General features: G+C 41.9%; 1 long non-coding RNA gene across 8 annotated transcripts in view, besides 1 other annotated feature; it reads right to left on the bottom strand.

The window, feature by feature from the left end:
* Positions 1-24,548, bottom strand: part of LINC03007 (long intergenic non-protein coding RNA 3007) — a 196,819-nt gene that overhangs the window by 154,256 nt on the left and 18,015 nt on the right. For 2 of the 8 annotated variants that reach the window (NR_157814.1, NR_157815.1), the window contains exon 1: positions 3,230-3,476. The exons of the other annotated variants lie outside the window; for them this stretch is intronic. This is a non-coding gene — a long non-coding RNA (long intergenic non-protein coding RNA 3007). Of the gene's footprint in view, positions 1-3,229; positions 3,477-24,548 lie in introns of those variants that run through there. 8 annotated transcript variants of the gene reach the window in all.
* Positions 4,727-7,106: an enhancer, noted in NCBI's record as "VISTA enhancer hs1325". NCBI's record gives its function as "enhancer in: hindbrain (rhombencephalon)[5/5] | midbrain (mesencephalon)[5/5] | forebrain[5/5]" and the evidence as "EXISTENCE:transgenic organism evidence [ECO:0001131][PMID:17130149]".

Below are 24,548 nucleotides of genomic sequence, written 5' to 3' on the forward strand. Positions count from 1 at the left end.
GATGTAATCCAGCATATAAACAGAGCCAAAGACAAAAACCACATGATTATCTCAATAGATGCAGAGAAAGCCTTTGACAAAATTCAACAACCCTTCATGCTAAAAACTCTCAGTAAATTAGGTATTGATGGGACGTATTTCAAAATAATAAGAGCTATCTATGACAAACCCACAGCCAATATCATACTGAATGGGCAAAAACTGGAAGCATTCCCTTTGAAAACTGGTACAAGACAGGGATGCCCTCTCTCACCACTCCTATTCAACATAGTGTTGGAAGTTCTGGCCAGGGCAATTAGGCAGGAGAAGGAAATAAAGGGTATTCAATTAGGAAAAGAGGAAGTCAAATTGTCCCTGTTTGCAGATGACATGATTGTATATCTAGAAAACCCCGTTGTCTCAGCCCAAAATCTCCTTAAGCTGATAAGCAACTTCAGCAAAGTCTCAGGATACAAAATCAATGTACAAAAATCACAAGCATTCTTATACACCAACAACAGACAAACAGAGAGCCAAATCATGAGTGAACTCCCATTCACAACTGCTTCAAAGAGAATAAAATACCTAGGAATCCAACTTACAAGGGATGTGAAGGACCTCTTCAAGGAGAACTACAAACCACTGCTCAATGAAATAAAAGAGGATACAAACAAATGGAAGAACATTCCATGCTCATGGGTAGGAAGAATCAATATCGTGAAAATGGCCATACTGCCCAAGGTAATTTACAGATTCAATGCCATCCCCATCAAGCTACCAATGACTTTCTTCACAGAATTGGAAAAAACTACTTTAAAGTTCATATGGAACCAAAAAAGAGCCCGCATCGCTAAGTCAATCCTAAGCCAAAAGAACAAAGCTGGAGGCATCATGCTACCTGACTTCAAACTATACTACAAGGCCACAGTAACCAAAACAGCATGGTACTGGTACCAAAACAGAGACATAGATCAATGGAACAGAACAGAGCCCTCAGAAATAACGCCGCACATCTACAACTATCTGATCTTTGACAAACCTGACAAAAACAAGCAATGGGGAAAGGATTCCCTATTTAATAAATGGTGCTGGGAAAACTGGCGAGCCATATGCAGAAAGCTGAAACTGGATCCCTTCCTTACACCTTATACAAAAATTAATTCAAGATGGATTAAAGACTTAAACGTTAGACCTAAAACCATAAAAACCCTAGAAGAAAACCTAGGCATTACCATTCAGGACATAGGCATGGGCAAGGACTTCATGTCCAAAACACCAAAAGCAATGGCAACAAAAGCCAAAATTGACAAATGGGATCTAATTAAACTAAAGAGCTTCTGCACAGCAAAAGAAACTACCATCAGAGTGAACAGGCAACCTACAAAATGGGAGAAAATTTTTGCAACCTACTCATCTGACAAAGGGCTAATATCCAGAATCTACAATGAACTCAAACAAATTTACAAGAAAAAAACAAACAACCCCATCAAAAAGTGGGTGAAGGACATGAACAGACACTTCTCAAAAGAAGACATTTATGCAGCCAAAAAACACAGGAGAAAATGCTCATCATCACTGGCCTTCAGAGAAATGCAAATCAAAACCACAATGAGATACCATCTCACACCAGTTTAGAACGGCAATCATTAAAAAGTCAGGAAACAACAGGTGCTGGAGAGGATGTGGAGAAATAGGAACACTTTTACACTGTTGTTGGGACTGTAAACTAGTTCAACCATTGTGGAAGTCAGTATGGCGATTCCTCAGGGATCTAGAACTGGAAATACCATTTGACCCAGCCATCCCATTACTGGGTATATACCCAAAGGACTATAAATCATGCTGCTATAAAGACACATGCACACGTATGTTTATTGCAGCATTATTCACAATAGCAAAGACTTGGAACCAACCCAAATGTCCAACAATGATAGACTGGATTAAGAAAATGTGGCACATATACACCATGGAATACTATGCAGCCATAAAAAATGATGAGTTCATGTCCTTTGTAGGGACATGGATGAAATTGGAAAACATCATTCTCAGTAAACTATCGCAAGAACAAAAAACCAAACACCGCATATTCTCACTCATAGGTGGGAATTGAACAATGAGATCACATGGACACAGGAAGGGGAACATCACACTCTGGGGACTGTTGTGGGGTGGGGGGAGGGGGGAGGGATAGCATTGGGAGATATACCTAATGCTAGATGACGAGTTAGTGGGTGCAGTGCACCAGCATAGCACATGTATACATATGTAACTAACCTGCACAATGTGCACATGTACCCTAAAACTTAAAGTATAATTAAAAAAAAAAAAAGAATGCTGTTCCTAATTGGTGGACGCTACCCTCACATTATTCATGTAGGCTACACAGTAGAACAAAACAATAATAATAGTATTAACACTTATACAGCACCTATGTTGGACCAGGAATACTTCCCTGGGCTTTCCAAATACTAACTCATTTAGTTACACAACCAACTTGTGAAGTCCATGCTATTATTACCCCAATGTGATAGCTGAGCATCACAGGCAGGGAGCAGTTGTCACCCAAGGCCAGGCTCTTAGCCACCATAAACATTGTTTCAAAGAGGAGGCTTTTGTCTTTTAAATAATATACGGAATGCATGAGGAATGCACTTAGCACATGTTATTATCATCCAAATAACATAATATATAATCAATACATTATATTATCATTAATAATTATTACCAGAATTATTATTATTACAAATAATTAATCACAAAGATGATCTAATTCGACTAAAAATCACACAAGAACTAATAATGAAGGAAATGGATGGGCAGGCCAAGGCTCTGACTCTGTTTCCAACCCTTGGTTACTGATTTACTAGTTTACAAACTTGGGTTTAGTTTTCCCCTGAACTTCCTGTAGAGATGGCCCCTCAAGTCTTTGGGTAATCTGGTTTGGAGATCTTCAGCTAAAACTCCAAGAGTGTGCTATTTGTGTAACTGACATGTAAGTTTCTGAATATTAAAATAGACTTGAAAAGGGAATTTCAAATCTTAATCAGTCCAAAAAATAGAAAGAATTTAAGCATTATCAAGCAGACTTTCAGATGTAGTTTTCAGTTGTTTCTGCACGCAACTCCAGAAAGGAAATTGTGTTTCTTAGAGCATCCATCTAAGACAAAAGATTTAGCAACCATCCTAATGAAAGCCCAGCAGGACAGATGTTTTGCAGGCATTATTTAAGTATGAAGGCTGACAAACTTACCATGGGCGATATCTGAATGTTATGTCCACGCACCATCAAGCCACAGAATTGACTGTATTTGGTACTGAGTGGGAAGGATGTTCAGGTCACGTGTGGACACAACCACACCAGCCATGACAGGATCAATGCCGTGTGGCTGGATTGTGACTTCGCAGCAGCCTCTCTCTACGTCTCTCCAACCACAGCCATAGGAAAGGACACAGGGAAATTGAAAAGCTGTTTGCTCCTAACCGTGCTTTTATGGACTGAATTTGGGAGCTGCCAGAGCAACACGTAGGATTTTGGTTTATTTGTATTTTTTGGTTTGTGTGTATGTTTATTTGCTTTTTAACCAGAGCAATTTTTTGGGTGTCACCTGTGAAGAAATGGGAGGATTAAGAGCTTTATCTGAAGTGTTTTTCTCCCCACTAGAGAACACACTGCCATTATAAGAAGTATTTTTATCAGCTGCATGCTTTCGCTTGCAAGTGTTTGCGTAGCTGTTAATGTTAAAAACAGAAGCCGTGGCATCCATTTTAAGTCTCAGGGATAAGAGAAAAAAAATGTTTCCCTTGTTTAGAAGGCTCCAGTGTTTCCCGGCAGTACCCGAATAGGATGTTTGTTTTAGGCTGAGAGAAGGAATGGCAGGCAGGCAGCAAGTGAACTTTTCATTTATAAAACATGGCTTTTTTATAAAGTGTGCCAGATCGTTAATAACCAGTGAAGGATGGACTCAGGAAGCCTCAGAGCACATATTTTTGGAATGAAGCTGAAGACTTCATTACTATTCTAGAGGAATATTGTTCCCATGAAGTTTTCCGTGGGCATAAAATCTAACCCATAGTCCCTTCTAAACATCTTGAGGCACTGCAGGCTCTAAGATAGCTCACAGAACCTGATTATCATTTGAGAAAAGACTTTCTTTCTCCACCTCAGTATAGAAATCAGTTATCGTGCTTTTGCTTTGTTGTTAATCCCTTCCCATTTAGTCCATCGTGATTCTCTAATTTCATAGATGGGGGTAAAATGCTGAAAATTCATTTCTTCGGAAATTGTTTAGCTTTAGTAACAGAGAGTGTGCCATATTTATTTTAACATCTTTAGACCTACTTCAGCTTGACAAAGTGTATCAGTCTATGCCAGAGGCCTTTCAAATTTCAGTTTAGTCTGTCTAAAACAGGTTTATACCTAGGGGCCCATGCCCATGGTTAGAAAAAAACACAAAGTTGACACTTTTGGCTAGAGAGGGATGGAAGGAGAGAAGAAGGGGAATTTTTCATTGCCTAATACACCAATGTAACGCGAGCGGTCCCAGGAGCTGCTGGAAGATGGACACCCCAATACCTAGACCTGAGCAGGGGATAAAAAAGAGAAAAGAAAAGAAACAAAATTTTGCTAACTGACTAATTTGGGAAGTGTGTTGGGAGGTAGAAGGTAGGCATGTCAAAGAAAAGAAAACTGCAGGGCTGGGGGGAAGTAGGGAAGATTGCTCTTGTTTTATACAAAATCTCCTGAGGAGAGGCAAGAAAACAGGCAAGTAATAAATAACATACTCAAGTTTATCCTGAGCCCAAACAACCCTCAGGGCTGAGGCTCTGCAGACCGCCTTCCCTGCCAGACCCACTGCCACTCATCTGCGGCAAGGGGATGCCTTTCCTGCCTGAACACCCAGGCCTTCAGCCCTGGGTAAAAATATCTGTATTGGTATTTTGTAGCTTTTTCTCCTGCACGCTGATAAAAACAAACCCCGTTTGTTTAAAAATCAACTTCCCCACTCCCTCCGCCCTATTTCCACTCTACTCTCATCCTTTTCCAATTTTTTTTTGAAACCCCTTAAAGGAAATGTCACCCAAACATAAGGAATTGGTCATTAGTATGTCTAATGGTGGACATTTTTTATGTAACGCTCTGAATCTATAGTGAACAAAAGCAACTGTTGAGAACTCTGCAAAAAAACTGCCCAGCAATTTTAAGTTAATGGGCAAGATTAATGGATTGTCATATAATGTGAAGGGAAAGTATTAGAAAGAAATGAAAGTGGCTAGACAAAATTGGTTTGGAATTGGAGTCTACCTGAAGGCCCCTCAGCAAGAACATTACTGTCTGCTGTATTTTCAGCTAAGCAGTGTATTAATTTGAAAGCCATGCCTCGTACGGATACCCAGCACTTAGTGGTTGGTTTTATGTTTAAAATGCTTAGTATGAAACCTGTGCTGAAAATTTGCCCAAACATCTCACAGTTGATTGCAAACCCGAGTGCCTGGGGGCTCTGAGTCCACACCTCAAGAATGCTGGAGTGGGGGGACTTTCTGGCTCCACACCTGGGTTTGTCAAGGCCTCTTCGGGCTGCTGGGAATGTGCCCTGCCTGGGGCCCGCTGCTCTCCTCATCAGCCCTCTGACAGATTAAAACACAACAGGGTCTGTTGCCTGACTGACACATTCCTCTCCTGTCTGCCTCTGAAAGGACTTTATTTAACAGTCCTGGAGTCGGGCTTTGACTGACAGATTGTGAAGGGTAAAAGTCATTCAGTTCCATTAAGCTCTGTAACTGCCCTGGAACAAAACACCTTCCAAAAAAAGTGTCGGAGGGAGGGGAAAATAGAGCTGTGGAGAGTGGGGGCATGAGCTTTCGGGAGAAAAAAAGGGGGTTTCTTTTCAGGTTCAAAAACAATCCTCCTCTTTGCCTTCTGTCTATCAATTAGGGCGGCATTCCCAGAGGGAATACAGGCCCGGCCTCATTGGTGTCATTCAGCTGCCAATCTCCTGACAGAGACACCAAAGGGCCTCATGTAGCGCTGCGGAAACTGTCTGTCAGGCCATCAGCAGCTGCTATGACGACATCGCCTCTGTTTTTCTAGGACTCTTATGGAGGGGGGAGTTCACCCCAACAGAGTCTCAGAGTCTCGACTCCAAACCTCTGTTCATATTTTCCTTTTACAACCCATCCCCAGTGTGAATTTCTTCACAAAAACAACCCCCGGCTCCCTTGCCTGGCTCGGCTACGAGGTAAATAATAGCTTGCCAGCCAAGGACATGGTCTTGGGTGTGAGAAAGGGGTTCTGCTTCTGGGAAAAACCGAGTCGTGACTGAACACATTCAACGACTCTGGCTCAGATGAGTCCAAAGAAACCCGATTTGCAGTGAAAGGTCTCCATCCACCGAAAGGCCTGCACAGGCCGCGTGTGAAGAGCAGTGTGGCCCCACAGACGGCCTCCTGCTCAGCCTTAACCTTGTTTGGGTTGCTGTGGGTTTCATTCCCCTGGAGTTTTGCTTGGAGCCTGAAGGCTCAAGCACAGCTCAACACTTTAAGCCAAACTCAGCACCAAGCAACCACTTCCCACTGCTCTGTTTTTCTGCCTTGCTCCCCGCTTTCCCCAAGGCCTGACTTACACGGCTGCCTTGAGTTTGCCCCAAAGATTCCTCAGCCTCAGCTGATCACACAGAAGACCCAAGAGTACAAAGGAAGGGCCCGTTTACCCGAGCTTTCTGGCTGGACTGGGGAAAATATCTTTACCCCCTCCCTGCCCTCAACTCCCTCCTGTCCACTCCAGATTCTGCCTAAGACTTGGGGAGGCAGATCCGGGCCACCAATGGCCACCTGCAAAGATAGTGGTTGTCTCTGCATTCTGTAAAGGCTGTGTTTGTGATTCCTGGCATTTCCCTGGAAGTGTTTTCACATTACAGGGAGCTGCTTCCAAATGGTAATGATAGCACTTTGTACCAAACTGAGAGCTGGAGCAAGTTGCTGCCAAGCCCCCATGGTCGGGCCATCGTGTTGCAACGCTTCTGCTTCTATTACAGTTCTTCACATGTTCCACCCGAACCGTACAAAATGTTTAGCCAAACCCTGTAAGAACATGTACATAAAGCTGTCTCCATGCTGCCAAGGTGGTAAAGTCGATCTTTTTTCTTCCTTAAGTCTGAAAGCTCTGCTAAGGTCCAACACTTCCTGAGCATAAACTCCATCTGGGGTGGCTAAAATCTGTCTACAGGGCAATATACTGATTTTAGACACCCAGATGCTGGGCCTTGGATATGCACTACCTAAATGAAGACACTGCCTGGGGAAATTCAGAATTAACTAGATTTTTGGCACTGGGAGTATATGCAGAGAGGAGCAAATGGACAGGATGATGCGAGGGAGAGAGAGGTTGATGTGATTGTCACCTTCCTGCTCTGCAGCCTCAGGAAGACACACTCAGAAGCCAGCCCTTTGCCATCTGCATGGATAGAAATGGCAACAGTCATGGGAGGCACTGATAGTTCACTAATGAGTGAATATTTCCACATTGCTTTGCAGGTCTTTGGTTATTGCAGCACATTTTCATTACTGAAGCAGAGAAGAAACCAACCTAAGGAATTGGGCAGGCCACCAGGGATATACACAAAGTGCTCTCACCTCCTGGGGCATCACCAAAAAGAGACTTTAGTCGCTGGATCAAAGGCTATTGGGAACATTTCACTCAGGATGAATTATCTTGAAAACACCACCTGGAGTAGCCCCAAATAAGCAGATGCTTTGGAGCTCCTGGATGCTGAGTGGTGGCACAGATTCCCATCCTGGGGCTCCGTGTCACCATCCAATGTCTGGTAACCCCATCCATTCCCTTTGTATCTTCCACAAAGACTTCAGATCCTCACACTTCAGGCCTTCCAAAAGCTTCTCAATTGAAGGCCCAATAGTCTAAGATCTGAATATTGAATTGCCTTTGCTGGAAAGACAACTGTCTTTGTTTACTGCTTTCTCAAGCAATTCCTGGCTGTTTATGCCACCTGAGATTCTACATAGTTCTCTCTGGCCTTGTGTTCCAACATCTATTATATTAGGTACTGTGCCTCTCCTGTTTTTCTTTCCATTGTGCTAGGGAAGAATTAAAGGGTCCTTTGAGCCCTCAAGACAGTGATGTGTATAGTATTCATTGTGTAACATCTTATTTGATTTTTTTTTTTCTTTGAGGTGGAGTCTTGCTCTGTTGCCCAGGCTGGAGAGCAGTGGCGCCATCTGGGCCCATTGCAAGCTCCACCTCCTGGGTTCACGCCATTCTCCTGCCTCAGCCTCCCAAGTAGCTGAGACTACAGGCGCCTGCCACCACGCCCAGCTAATTTTTTGTATTTTTAGTAGAGACGGGGTTTCACCGTGTTAGCCAGGATGGTCTCGATATCCTGACCTCGTGATCCACCCGCCTCAGCCTCCCAAAGTGCTGGGATTACAGCCGTGAGCCACTGCACCTGGCCCTTGGTTGAATTTTTATCCTTACAGTATTTCCCCTTGACTGGTTACGTTGTGGGTAATCTTCAACCAAACCTGTTACAGTTTAATTTTAGCTAAATAAATAGTTCCTACTATTTAGTAAATATATGTAAGTTTAGACAATTTGTTCTTATTTCTGTGAGTAGATTCCCCCCCACTGTAAATTAGCTTAATCCTAATTAATCTTAATTAACATTACTCAGGTTCGTATTATAGCAATAAAATACATCATAAGCACCACCATTCCATCTTTTCATTTCATTCATGCAAACTATGAGGCCAAGAAAGACATGCTTGCCATGCACCTCCCCAACTCAGGAAAATTCTAATTCACAAATATAAATACATAACATGCCACTTGGTGTTGGTGTTACAACTTTTAGTCCATCTCCAGAATGAGATAGAAAGTAAGGACTTGAATGATCACCTAGCATCCCCATGGACACAAATCCTATGAGGATGGCGCCAATATGTTCCTCAGAATGTTATGAATTTCTAAAATGTCACATATGCCCATGTGCAAAGATCTATAAAACTTCATTATTGTTACAATTATGCACCATTTTCTGTTAGCCACACAAAGAAATCTCTTGATAAAACAAAAATAACTTTGAAGGACATGGTATACAGAAAGTGTCAGAATAACCAAAATGATTGACTGAAAAAAATCCAATATATCATCCTTAAATAACAAAACTACACAGATGAGAAGTGTGTTCTTGGCACATCAAGGAAGCATTTGGAAGAGCTCATTTGAATAGATGAATGGAATTGATCTATTAAAAGCACAGAGACAGCTGTCAGACCTCAAAACAGTAATGAGGCTAAATTTTCCCAAGTTAAGACTTTGATCCTCAGCAATGATCTTAGACTTGTGATCAAAGATACCCAGGCACTTTAATCTTCACTTTACTTTCCTAAATCCCATGGATTATAATATCATGACTTTACAAGAATAATCACTATACAGGAGAAGACTGGCTTTTTAAAAAGGAACTCAGCTAAGAGAAGCCAAGCTAAAGGTGAAGTTACCTCTGGTTAGGAATGTGGAGTACCCAGTGCCCTCTTAATAACAGTGGAGACTATAAATCTAATCCAAATATTTATGAAGTACCTTGTTTCTTTTATATGACTGGCTGGTTTACAAAATGTTGTGCCCTTTAACCTCCAAACTCTTGTGTTGTTCTTAAATATAGAAGGAGAAGGAATGGAAGGAAAAAACAGAGAGAATAAAGGAAAAGATGAGAAATAAAGATGGTTATGCCTGTCTCTCAGGTTACTAAGGATCATCTTTGAAAGGTCCATTCATCCACTGGGTTGAGAAAGCCACTGAGCCCAAAGGTGGGTCAGAGCAGCACCCAGAGAGTGCTGAGCCAGCCACAGATGACTTTTCTCAAGATGTTGACATCTGATTAATGCTTAAACAAAGCAATGAGAAAAAGTTTTAACTTTTTCACAAATGAAATTGGTATCATGGTGCCTCCATAGCCTGAAGGAATGAATTGTCAAACGAATTCTGTTTCATAATCTTTTTTTCTAACTTTTAAGCTTTATTGCCTTTTATGCATTTAGAAACTGACATCATTTATACTAAAATGTGGTTAGCCTTTTGTGAAGAAGCAAATTCTCACTCGACACAATGACTTCAGCCATCCTAGGAAAACATGCCTCTAATCAGGACTGAAAGCCTAGCACCATTTGTGTGTTGAAAATGAACGTATTTCACTGAATTTCATGGTATTTTTTATTATAACTTTAACAGGAGTGGGCGTTAAGAATCTTTGACAGAAGATCTTTGTTTTAGAAGGTTGCTCCAAGGTCCAAACCTCAGTTTTCTTGCCTCACAGGCATTCATTTCTTTATCTACTGATGCTAAGTTCACAATTCTTATTCCTTTCCAGACCCTCCTCCTCTTTCCTGGGAAAGATGCTTTTTGAAATATCCAAGTTTCTTCAAAGACTCTGGAAATAAAGAACTAAGAGAGAAGCTAGCTCATTCTGGTTTCTATTTGTTCCACACAACTTGAGAATATTTTAAATGCCCAATTTTCTATAAGAATTGATTAATACCTGACCTGTTTCCTAGTCTTGGTAGTTAAATATGTGAATGTGGAATTCTTACTGTGAATGTTGAGCGGTGATAATGGTGTAAGCTACAAACTCATGACACTGAAAGATGCCACTCCTTTCTTCCTAACAGTCTTGTACACCTTGGCCAAGTCACTGTCATCTCCAATTCCTATCCATATAACATGAATAATATTTCATCTCAGTTGTGCCATGATAAAATGTACTTGTAGCCTATTGTTGAGTTCCTGGGAATGATCTTCCATGAAGCCTTAGTCTTTCTTCTTGTTTCTTCTATGATTTAGGCCACAGGGAAAATCAAAATCCAAGGTGGGAGCCAACCAAGAACCTAAAACCAACTTCTCCATTCTGACATGTTTGTAAACATCAAGTAAATTAAATTTTTTCTTCAGTTCTTTTAGATGTACATTTCACCAAAACTGAGATTTTTCTGCTTTAAATGCTTATCTAATTGGCTATTTTTCTGTAACGGTTCACCACTCATGTACTCTTAAATGGGTTCAAAAAACATAGTGTGCCCTTAATATTGGCTTGACATTTCCAGTTCTGGTGGCTAATGTGCAGAAGTGGCTTCTGTGCTAGGTTGATGCATTGCCTTTTCTAGACAAATGTACTTCGTGACATCTGACAACAGTAACATGATTAAACCATTGTAACCTGAGTGTCAGTTCCTCAGGGGTGCTTTAAAAATACTTGAGAGTAGGATCTTACATGTAACAGAAGAATGCAAGCCCACACTCGCCCGACTGTAACTATCAACTACCACACACAGAAAAGACCAGAAACAAATAAAGCTTTCCTTTTAGGTTTGGTTTAGAACATATCCCAGTACCAAAATTTGTTTTGTATTACAGTCCTCTTTATTACTGGTTTTCTATACCTATTAGGGTATAATTTCAAATTAATTTCAATTTAAATTCAAATTAAAAAAATAAAAATAAAAAACTCATTTGAAACAAATACAAAGCAATAGCAAGGCGTCACTTTGAAATCATTATGACACCGAGGCACAAAAATGTCCACTTACTAATTAACCTTACGTTCGTGTTTATAGTACACTTCTGGGCAAATCTAAAAGGTTTTATTTATAATTATGGCATTTCCCCTATTGTGAAAAGTGTATTATCTTTACTATAACTTTATTTTCATCTCCATTAGTTAAAAAGCAAAGGAATGTGGCACAGAAGGCAAAATATTTTAAGACATGGAATCAACTGTTTAAAAATACATACCCACTAACTCCAGTAGCATTTATAACAACATAATGGCAAGATTCTAGTAACTTGTCTTTGGCTGTTTTCAGAGGTCCAATGTGAAATGGAAACATTGAGTTCAATTATGCAGCTATTTTAGGTTTGGTTGCTTGGCTTGAATGATTAGGATAATTGTCCCAATTATTCTCTGTACTTTGTGTGTGCAGACCCAGACCTAAAATGTGATTGGGTGTAGAGTATCTGATGGGAAGACAGAAAACCTGGATTCTGTGTTTCAATGGATCCATGATTAAGCCTGTAATTTTGAACAGTTGCATCCTCTATGTGCCTCAGTTTATCCATCTTACAGAGAAATAGAAATGCTATTTTATCAGAGCAAATCAAGATGATTGAACTTAAAAATTTTTTCAGCAGCTTTTAGAGAAAATGTCATATGAAAACAAAATAATCCTATGTTAGCCCAGTTCTCCTAGAAAACAGAGCTGAAGCAGGAATTCCATCCCAGTGCTTTCTATGGGAGGTGCAATCCCAGAGCAATTAAAGTGAAAGAAAGAGAAGTGAAGCAGGGAAGGATAAAAAGCAATGCAAAGTGATGCATGAATATGCTGGCCATTACTTCACAATGGGCCTAAAGAGACGCAGGAGTCCACTGAGGAAGGAAGGAGAGGGAATTGGTCCTCCAGGTTCCCTCCCATCTCCTGTTTGCCATTGATCAAAACACATACCACAGGGAATTATGTCCCTACACTTCCAGGTTGCACCATCTGGCCCCTCTGACAGAGCCGATGCCCTGCCGAGTGTCATTTCATCAAGTTTGGGAGAATGTGGGAGAACCCGGGAGCTCAGGTGTGTTAACCAAATGGCATCAGGCTGTAGAAAGACATGGGTCCCCACAGAGTTTCAACACAGCAGGAGCTGAGTAGGGTGAGCAGCTGAGAGCCTGGGGACAGAGCTGAGAGAGGCTGAGGAGGCTCATCAGAGGCATGCAATGCACACGTGGTTAGCCAGTTGGCTCCCTGTTATAATTACAGATTTGGTATATCAATAAGTTACCCAAGAGTTACCAAAGTGCCAATCAATTTGCCTAAGTCCACTGGCCCAAACCAAAAACTTTGCAATTTCTGACTTTGAACAGCTAAGTTGGAATATTTTCTCTAAATAAATGATTTAAATGGAAAGGATAAAATGCTAAAAACATAGATGATTCCCAACCTTTCTAGAACAACCATGTCACTAATAGGGGACAGCATGGAAGAGACAGCACCGCACTAAGAATTCAGCCCACATTTTCCTTAACAAACTAACACAGGAACAGAAAACCAAATACCGCATGTTCTCACTTATAAGTGGGAGCTAAATGATGAGAACACATGGACATAAGAGGGGAACAACACACACAGGGGCCTACTTGAGAAGATCATGAGCCAGCCGGGCGTGGTGGCTCACGCCTGTAATCGCAGCACTTTGGGAGGCCAAGGCAGGCGGATCACGAGGTCAGGAGATCGAGACCATCCTGTCTGACACGGTGAAACCCCAACTCTACTAAAAATACAAAATATTAGCCGGGCATTGTGGCGGGCACCTGTAGTCCCAGCTACTCGGGAGGCTGAGGCAGGAGAATGGTGTGAACCTGGAAGGCGGAGCTTGCAGTGAGCCGAGATGGTGCCACTGCACTCCAGCCTGGGCGACAGAGCGAGACTACATCTCAAAAACAAAAACAAAAAACATCCAAACAGCATAGAAAGTAAAGAAAATAAGCTGTTAAGATGAAGGCAGGTTTTCATCACATGAAGTAGTCCAATGTGTTTGGTAGGTATGAGTCTAGGGAAGTCCTAGGAGGAGCTGGGCAAGTAGAAAGAGCCAAGGAGTAAAAGACCTTGATAGAGAACACCTGGTGCTTGTCTGTCTACCATCCATACTGTCTTTAGAGAGCTGCTCCTTCACTGTATGCAGTCCCAGAGAGGATATCATCACTGTCCAGACACCCACAGTCATGGGGGTGAGCATGTGGCTCAGATGAAGATCATTAGAACAGACATTAACGACTGGTCCGGGGGTGAACACAAGATCAGAGCAGGGTCAATCAGGACTTTCTGGATTAATGTAAGGATATCCACTTCTGGGCATGAGCACCAGGCAGTTGTATTTTTTTTTTTTTTTTTTTTTTGAGACAAAGTCTCACTCCATCGCCCAGGCTGGAGTGCGGTGGCACGATCTTGGCTCACTGCAACCTCTGCCTCCCGGGTGCAGGTGATTCTCCTGCCTCAGCTTCCCGAGTAGCTGGGATTACAGGCACGCACCACCATGCCTGTCTAATTTTTTTTTAATTTTTAGTAGAGACGGGGTTTCACCATCTTGGCCAGGCTTGTCTCAAACACCTGACCTCGTGATCCGCCCACCTCGGCCTCCCAAAGTGCTGGGATTACAGGAGTGAGACACCACGCCCAGCCTCAGACGTTGTTCTTCTACAGGAAAACTCAAGTTCTAGGCAGAGAGGGCAATGGTTTTTTTTCTGCATTACCCAGCATCCATTCTTCCTTCTTCTAATAATGGTTCCCCAAATATCATTTGCGGACCTATCCTCCTCCTAGTCTCAGTCATTACAGTTTAGATAGGACAGACTCCATGCACAGCTTCATAGGCATCTACCCTAGGCCCAGCCAATCAGAGCCACAAGATTGGTTCAGGAGTGCTTCTGAGCCCATCTCAACCAGTCTGGCAGAGAGAAGGTCCTCTTTTTCCCCTCTGGATTTGGAGCTGTAACAATCTATGTCTAGGCTAGTGGCAGCCACTTGTCCTCACCAGTTAAAGCATGCCAGAACAATGGAGCCAGTGTGGAGGAAGGTGGGACTGAGAAATGGAGAGACTGGAGCCAACTAAACATTTGGTTACTGAGTCAATAGCGTCCTTTTTTTTGTTTGTTTGTTTGTTTTGATGAAAATAATTTGAGCTGAGTTTTCAGTACTTGCAGCAGAAAGACTCTGACCTGATACAGAGGGATAGATACACAGGTAATCACAATGCAATGTGATAAATCTTAATGTGAAAAGAAAAATAAAGTGCTTTGGGAGTTGTGGACAGTCAGTGTTGCTTCTTTGGTTCTTCGTTGGTAAAATGGCTCACCTGCCTAGATAACAATTAAAGTGCCCCCCAACCTGACCCTATGCCCACATAATCTATCATTCAGGGAAGATTTGGCTCGTTAGGGCGTCTCTCCTGGTATCCAGAACTGCTGCACAGGGAATATGCATGTTCACAGCCATCTGTTTACTAGTAAAGCAGTGCTGATTCCTCTGCCTCCTTAAAGATTCCATCGCATTATTAACATGGTAGGTCACTGGTTGGAAATGCAAACGCATAGCCAATTAGTGGAAGACAAGGTGAGCTTGCCAATCGATAATCACCACACCACCTGTTGCGCTTTGAAAAATTACCTCACAACATTCTTGGGTCCTTAGGTAAATCCTTAAACTTCATCCTGAAGAAAATGAATCACATATGTGTCTTCCTCGCCATGGGATATGCATTGGTCCGCGTGAAGCATTGTAGCTGTTCTATACAAACATGAAAAGCATTTGAATACAGGGGATAATGGGCATCATAAAAGGGGTAATAAAAAGCAGAGTTCCTGGAGTTGTCTCACCTAGCAGTGGACTCTATTCTGGGATTCCTTTCCTGTAGCGTCTACAATTATGCTATTATAAATAGGCACAGAGTTTATTCATAAAATGGCTTGGTTTCCTTCCCTCAACCGGTAGACCCTTCAACCAGGGACAGGGGATCCTCCACACACTGGGTGTCATGTGGTCAAAGGGGGCTTCTGCCCCTCGCTCTGCAGGCTGACTGCACATTTCAGATGCAGTGGAAATAAAAACTGCTGCTGCCAGTGTTGCTCTCAACTGAGATAACTGACCTCTAACCACCCACATATTCCACCCTCTCAGTGCATCCATCATTCTGGTCATTAGACAGTAACACTGTTATCCAGGTAGCTACAGTCACAACTGAGAGTGTCCTTTAATGCATTCCCAGTATAGACTCACACAATGTGACTGACATGACTACCCTGAAAAACAAAAAACAGGTACCTTACTTGTACCTTGGCTCTGAGGCTGGGGGAGCCAAGCTTCTACATGAGCCCCTGTTAGAAGCCAGGTACTGTGTCAAGTATTCCACATGCATTATCTTGTTTTATTCTCACGATAGTCCTATAACATAAATACTCTAGTATCACTGCTTTACAAAGAAGAGACTGAGGCACACAGACGTTAGTCAACTTGTCCAAGATCACATAGCTAACAAGTAGCAGAACCTGAATTCTAACCTGGAGGCTGCATTCTTGCCATTATGCTCAACTTCCTTCCCCTAGCTCTTCCTCTTTCTCCACGGAGGATGCATGTCAGTCCTGCATTCATTCCTACAGCACACCCAGGTTTTTTCACTTGATAGATTTTCTCCCACAACCCCATTCACAACTCATCATCCTCCCTAACCCAGAGATTAAAAAGTCACCAATAAGACAATGTGCTTGTAACTAAGCTAACAGTGTTATTCCCAGTGTATTACTGGGAATATACAAAAGTCCTATGTGTGTATCATTAAGCAGATATTATATATATGGAGCCTGAGTGTGTGTGTGTGTGTGTGTGTGTGTGTGTGCGCGCGTGCATTTGGGTAGATTTAATACATTGAATCCTCTCAAAAAAAGACCTTGGAAGAATGCTTCTCCAACCAACAAATGTTTATTGCCTATCTCCTATGAGATTACTAGATGCTTAGAGCAATCTTGACATTGTAGACATGTAAACAAGTAACTCCAAATAGAGGGGAGGATAAACAAACTCTCTAAAAGTTTTATCAGCCAAATCCTTTGGTGGCAAAGTGGAAGAACTTGAAGTATAGGTAAGGGTTTTGAAGGAAGCAGCATTTTGATTAAGCCTCGAAGACTGAGAAAAATTTTGGTAAGTATAGAAGGGGAAGAAAAAAAAATCCAAGGCCGGCACGATTTCTCATGCCTGTAATCCCAGCACTTTGGGAGGCCGAGGCGGGCAGATCACAAGGTCAGGAGATCAAGACCATCCTGTCTAACATGGTGAAACCCCATTTCTACTAAAAATACAAAATATTAGCCGGGCATGGTGGCGGGCGCCTGTAGTCCCAGCTACTCGGGAGGCTGAGGCAGGAGAAGGGAGTGAACCCGGGAGGTGGAGCTTGCAGCGAGCCGATATCGCCCCATCACACTCCAGCCTGGGCGATAGAGTGAGACTCCGTCTCAAAAAAAAAAGAAAGAAAGAAAGAAAAAAAAATCCAAACAGCATAGAAAGTAAAGAAAATAAGCTGTTAAGATGAAGGCAGGTTTTCATCGCATGAAGTCGTCCAATGTGTTTGGTAGGTATGAGTCTAGGGAAGTCCTAGGAGGAGCTGGGCAAGTAGAAAGAGCCAAGGAGTAAAAGACCTTGATAGAGAACACCTGGTGTTTGTCTGTCTACCATCCATACTGTCTTTAGAGAGCTGCTACTTCACTGTGTGCAGTCCCAGAGAGGATATCATCACTGCCCAGACACCCACAGTCATGGGGGTGAGCACGTGGCTCAGACGAAGATCATTAGAACAGGCGTTAATGACAAAGATCATCAGAACAGACATTAACGACTGGTCCGGGGGTGAACACAAGATCAGAGCAGGGTCACTCAGGGCTTTCTGGATTAATGTAAGGATATCAGAAGAAAGAAATGGCTGTTTTATCTGAGGTTGAAAGGATATAAATTTGAGGATGTTAGCAGTTATCTTTCCCATTTTCTAGAAAGATGTTGTCTGTAAAATGAAGCTATGACAATGAAGAACCGGGAACCAAGATATAGCAAAAGACAGAGAGAGCCCTGAGAGCATTATGTGATCCCCTGGACCCACCTACACCTGAAGCTCTAGATCCTTCCTTGGACTTTTCAGTTACATGAGTCATTCAATGCCCTTTTGCCTTGAGCTAGTTTGAGCTAAAAAAGTCCTGGCTAGTACAGCTGTGAGTGTTATGCTGAAGAGTTTGGACTGATTGATATAGGACTGGAAAGCCTCTGAAAGTCCCCCATTCTTAAGTGGTTAGAGAACAGAGACACAGAGTGGACAGAAAGACTATGAAGAGATTAAAACCTCTTATCTTCAGCCTCCTAAATTCACATGTCACAAGATGAACCCTTACCAAATAGGAGCTACTCAGGGCTGGGAAAAACTTCAAGTGGGCACCTGGTCTTCCAGCATAAGAGGACATATAAGCCCAACAACATGCCTCCGTGGAGCTGGAAGGGTCTGCTTGTGGGGTAACTTCTTACCATGCCAACAGGACCTTCCAATCCATCATGTAAGTTAAGCCAATAATACTACAGCCACAATAGAATGACATACTTTGCTAGCCAAAGCAAGATCCACACAAAACAATGACGAGTTTGAGCTAGAAATTATTCCCAATATTGTTAGCAAAATCTGGATAGTAGATGTCTCACCCCAGAGGGTGAAAATACCTCAAGAGGAGCAGGTGATTTCTAAGGTCAAGGAACAAGGCCTGAAACAGCATTACTGTAGCAAATGTGAAGGGTCTGGTTACCTCCCTGTCTGAAACCCAAGACGTTTGGAGGAAAAGAGGTGCTGAAATATCTGCAGTTGGTGGTGACACCTGAGAACCTGGGTGATCCTACCTCCCTACATACAAGGGCAGGGATCATGCCTTTTGCTTCAAATAGCTTTGAACCTTCTGGCCCCCCTCCAGCCCTGATTCTATCTCAGAGAAAAAAGAAAACCACTTTGCTCTTAGGCCCAAGGCCAGGGCATCAGGTTATTTGTCACTTTGAAAGTAACCTAAGATGAACCTTATTTTTCCTGAAGTAAAACCCAAATTAAAATGACCCCTAGGTGTACTAAATAAGGAGACTTCTCAGCCTCCCATCTGTAATTACAAGATGAACGCTTACCAAATAAGAGCTCCTTGGGCCTGGGAAAAAATTCAAATGGGCACCTGACCTTCTAGCGCCTCTGGATAAGAAAACATACAAGCTGGCCGGGCGCAGTGGCTCACGCCTGTAATCCCAGCACTTTGGGAGGCCAAGGTGGGTGGATCACGAGGTCAAGAGATCGAGACCATCCTGGCCAATATGGTGAAACCCCGTCTCTACTAAAAAAAAAAACACACACACACAAAAATTAGCTGGGTGTGGTGGCATGCACCTGTAATCCCAGCTACTTGGGAGGCTAAGGCAGGAGAATCGCTTGAACCCGGAGGCAAAGTTTCAGTGAGCCGAGATTGCGCCACTGCACTCCAGCCTGGTGACAGAGCGAGGCTCCGTCTCAAAAAAAAAAAAAGAGAACATATAAGCCAGGCAACGTGGCTCCTCGGAGCTGGAAGCGACTGCCTCTGGGGCAACTTCCTACCGTAACCTTACAGATTTATCATAGCAACAAGGAGACTGAAGGAGGCATTGCCAGGTCATAACAGAAAGCATCCCATCTCCTGGGCTTTGCATTCTTTGCACACCTCTGCTTAGTCTCCACCAGCAACTCCACCACTGCCTTCACAGAATAAAAGACCTGGGAGAAGCAAGAGGCCAGTCAGTTGCAGCTTAGCATAGGGGTGCTCAGCAGTGCTATGGCTGCAATGGAGGTTGAGGCAAGGGCAGGGAGCAGGGAGACTCCAGCACCTGCCATGACCGGGCTCAGAGGACTCAAAGCAGATGTTTGCAGCAATAATCTTGCTGTAATTTGACCAATTCTCAGACACTCATTTTTCATATTTTAGTCACTCTGAAATAGGGGTGCATCTTGTAATCAGCAGTGTGTCATGCTTTAAAGTTGGCAGCACTTTTGCCTTTCCTGGTGATTTATGAAATGATGGTGTGTTTTACAATTGATGGTATTGTAGGTTCAACAAAATATGGTACATCAGGACCAGCTGTTCACAATGTTAAACTAAAACTCTCTAACGATTCCAAAGAGACATTTCTATTATCCAAAAGCCCATTGCAGCAGTGGGAGCTGGAGCCACAAAACCAGAAGGGATCGCAGTGCAGCAAGAGACAGAAATGATCGGCCCCACTCAATTTCTCGGAAGTTGCAACATACCAAAATAAAAAGATATGGCATATGAACCATTTACACTTGGAAAATGCCATATTGCTGGCTCCTATAAGAGGTCATCAGCTCCAGTGGACATTTCCCATCTTGAGGACTGGGTTGATGGCAGATGGTGACAAAGGTGGTAAGGTAAGAGAGATGGTAATTTGACAGTTTCCACAATAAAACCTAACATCAAAATTGTACTTTACAGTTTTCAAACATTTTCCTGGAACAGCATGGTGGCTCACACCTGTAATCCCAGCACTCTGAGAGGCTGAGGCAGGAGGATCACTTGAGGCCAGGAGTTCAAGACCACCTGGGAAACAGAGTAAGACCCTCTCTCTAATTAAAAAAAAAAAAATTAGAAAAAATTTTCCTGAGCATTACACGATCTCAGGCCTAGCTGGTGGTATCGTCCCCTTTTTAAAGCTGAGGAAAATGAACCACAAGCAGCTGGGAGATTTATCCAAGCTCGCACAGTTAGTCGATGGAGAGAAGTGACTAGCCTGCCGAGATAAAGGATCTTGCCTTAAGAGCCTTCCACTATTCCACAAAAGACAAGAGAAAGACTTAGTCCTGGGCAGACTTTTCTTCAATCTTTTCAAGTCTCCGAAGTAGACTAATTTTCATGCTATGTCTTTTTACCAGCATTCCAGAAATAAAAGGGTAAGGAGAGTTAAAAGGGTGAATGTATGTTTTAAATGGCCATGTGCAAAAATGTCTGCACGGATCCTGATAATTACATTTTTAGTATGAGAGATAATTTGTGCCTTGGTGGCACATTTTTCTGATTGTTAAAGTCATACAAATTTAGAAAATAATGAGGTTCAAACTGTTGAAAGTATTTACACAATCAATTAGCCCACAGTTAATAAGTGATTTCACCGAGCAATCAGCACTAAAAAAGCATTAAAAGGCTGTGACAGAATTCTTCCCCCATGGAAGCAGACAGTGCAATTTGAAGAAAAGAGAAACATTAAAAAATATAGTATACAATTTGGAAGGGATGAGCTCAAATAAAGAAGGAAGGACTATAGACTGGAATTGTCAAGGCAGCCTTCTCAGAGAAGGAAGGATTTGAGATGGGCCTTAAAGGATGATTAAGATTTAGCTCAGCTGAGAGGGAGGTGGGTGGCATTCCTGCATCTAGTAAACAGGTGAAGAAACAAATGAGATGCTATATAAGAGCTTGGCATGTAGCAGGGTGATCAGTGAGGGTCATTGGGGAGAAATGGAAAGAACAGCAGCCTCTCAGGGGTGAGCAAGGGCAAACCTGGTGGAAGGGGGCTTGAAAATAGAGTAAAGACAGTTCCAAAGGGAGGTTACACAGGATCTTAAAACCAGGCTGGAGTATTTGAATTTTAACCTATAAATAATGAGAAGCTATTGAAAGTTTTTGAGCGGAAGAACAGGTGGTAAGAGGTTTTACATAGATAACTTCTGCAACATGCCTAGGAAGGACCCCATTAAAATTTTTATATAAAACAGGGGTCAGGGAGGGTCATTGAAATAGAGAAGTCCTTGTCCAAGGTGGATCCTGAGATGGAAACAAACCATTGACTTAAATGACAAACCAACTGCTCAGCCCTCAAAGACAAATGACAGAGATTAGGCTGTCTGTGGGCATACAAGTGGAAATGCCCAACAGTAGTTGAACTATGGGGTCTTGCTTCAGGAGAAGGGTCCAAACACACATAGATAAAGATAGAGACAGACAGGAAGGTAGATTTAATAGTTTTCCACATTAATTAGTGAAATTTTTTTGTTTTGTTTTGTTTTTGAGACAGAGTCTCGCTCTGTCATCCAGGCTGGAGTGCAATGGCGTGATCTCAGCTCACTGCAACCTCTGCCTCCTAGGTTCAAGCGATTCTCTTGCCTCAGCCTCCAGAGTAGCTGGGACTACAGGCACGTGCCACCACACCCAGCTAATTTTTGTATTTTTAGTAGAGATGGGGTTTCACCATGTTGATCAGGCTGGTCTCAAACTCCTGACCTCATTATCCACCCGCCTCGGCCTCCCAGCGCCCGCCTCAGCCTCCCAAAGTGCTGGGATTATAGGTGTGAGCCACCGCGCCCGTCCTAATTAATGAATTTTAACAGCTAGTTTTATATATGTGTGTGTGGATGGATGGAAAGAAAGAAGGAGGGAGGGAGGGAGGAAAGAAGGGGAAGGGAAGGAGAAGGGAAGGGAAGGGAAGGGAAGGAGAAGGGAAGGGAAGGGGAGGGAATGGAAGGGAAGGGGAGGGGAGGGGAGGGGAGAGAGAGAGAGAGAGAGAGAAATAGAGAGAAAGAGAAAGAGAGAAAGAGAAAGAAAGAAAGAAAGAAAGAAAGAAAGAAAGAAAGAAAGAAAAGCAAGCAAGCTTGACATTTAATTTTGCTCTTTTTTCTCTCTCTAGTCATTCATCCTCCCACCCCTTCCACAGTCTAGCACCTTATCTCAGTACCTTTCAACACTGAATTTTTCAAATAATAACAATAAGCCACCAAAAAGACCTCAATATTGCCTATCTCTGATATGCAAGAGTATTGAAGATAGAAATACCTGCTGACACTGTGATTTGCACAATTCTTTTATTTATTTATTTATTTATGTGACAATCATTTATTGAGTGCTTTCCATGTGCTAAATACTGTGCCCAGTGCTGGAGATACAGCAATCATTCATTCATTTAATACATGTTTGTAGAATACATACTGTGTAAAAAGCTCTGTGCAAAGAGCTGTGTAAGTCATGGCTCCTAACTTCAAGGTAAATAAACCCCTACTGGTGATATCAATATACATGAAGTTATCTTCTTATAGGGAGTACATTCACAATTCCAGGCTCAAATAAAGTGTTCTATTCCACACACCTGGGAGGCACTAAGGTCTAGGGAGGAAATGAAACTCTTATAACTGTCCTGAGCATGTGAGATTAACAAGTGCTCTTGTAAAACTAAATGCCAACTGCAGAGCTGCCTATTGGCCAGTGGCCTCCTCACAGGTATTTACGTTTATTTATTTGCTAGATTTATCACATTTGCAGGCTGTGCCATTTGGCCTCAGGGTCAAATAAATCACTTTTAAATTTTTAACATCATTCTTAAGCATTGCGTGCCCCTATATGCCCCTGACAGACTTTCTAAAGCCTTTACAGGAACAGAATTAAATCCATTTCGCAAATAAATACACTGGAAACAGCAGGGTTTAAATGTACCGATAAGGGAAAAAATAAATTCTAGGAAAAACCTGGAGATAGGATTGATGTGTTCTGCAGTACTTTTTAGATGTGGAAAAATTCCTCCCCACAAAACTGGGGTTTCTAGCTGACCTTCTAGACAGTAAAAAAAAGAAAAAAGAAAAAAGACTTGGGGTGGCATGTGGAATTCTGTCTCTCTTCTTCTTGGCACACATTCCTTTTCAAAGATATGTGCTCCATGAGGATTTGTCATAAGGTTCAAAAAGACAGCCAAAGATCATAACAAAGTACGTAATGGAATGGAATAGAAATGCATTTTTAAGAAAGCTGGCCACGTCATTTGGAAATTCAGCCGAGGTAGATTCTCCCATCTCCCAAAGCCTAAATCTGTCTCTGGGAGAAAGCTAAACATGTAGAAAGGAGAACTGACTCTTTGAATATTATTGTACTCACATAATTAATGTTATATTAAATTATCCTTTCATATGCTCATCAAACATTTATTGAGCACTGTACTAAGAACAGATTTGGTGCCACGGAGTACAAAAAATAAGACAGGGTCCCTGCTATTAAGGAGCATTCACGCAAATTAAAAATTACCATATGTATAGTTAATAACAATGTATTATATACTTGAAAATTACTGACAGTAGATTTTAGATGTTCTCACCACAATTAAATGTTGCATGTGTAGTAACGCATGTTAATTAGCTTGATTTAGCCATTCCATAATGTATCCATATTTCAAAACATTGTGTTGTGTCATCAACATATACAATTATACGTCAATTTAAACACAAAGAAATAATTTTCATCACCATATTACAAATCCTACAAAATGTTGTTACAAGAGCCTGAGAAAGATGCTTTATATTAGGAATGACTGTTTCTTTGTCATATAATCTCAGTCTAGCATTCTCTTTTTTTTTCTGTGCTCTATGGAAATGACAATATATATTTATTCGACTGTAAAGCAACTTCATTTTTCCAGTATCTCTTTGCTTTTCTCCACTACCTCTTTCAAGTGGTGCTGACTTATCATGACTAAATTGGTTTACGATGGAAAGATGTTTTGATATTTGATCTGAAAGACGTGTGTATTTTTGTTCTGGGTATAATCTTACACCATTATTTTGGATTAACCGACAGACTCCAAATCCCAGTTGCATTGGATAGGTGACCTTCTGCTATATAATTTCTGCCACTACAATGAACTACCAAAGACCAGAAGCCATGTTTTAAAAATCTATGATTCCCTACCCCACAAAAACAAGAATGACAAACAGGAATTCAATAAATATTTAATAATTCAGACAAGTAGTTTCTAGATCTTGTCATCTCATACAACAAGTAAACCTGTGTTCTAAGCCACTGAGATTTAGGCATTATTTGCTACTCCAGAATACCTTAGCTTAAGCCGACCAATACACCAGACTTCAATATGTAAATATGAGTAAATGGCAAGTGAATGAATATATCTGTAGTGTTTTGTTTGTTTGTTTTTTGAGA

The sequence above is a fragment of the Homo sapiens genome, chromosome 7 (assembly GCF_000001405.40).
Source record: "Homo sapiens chromosome 7, GRCh38.p14 Primary Assembly".
NCBI classification, from domain to species: domain Eukaryota; kingdom Metazoa; phylum Chordata; class Mammalia; order Primates; family Hominidae; genus Homo; species Homo sapiens.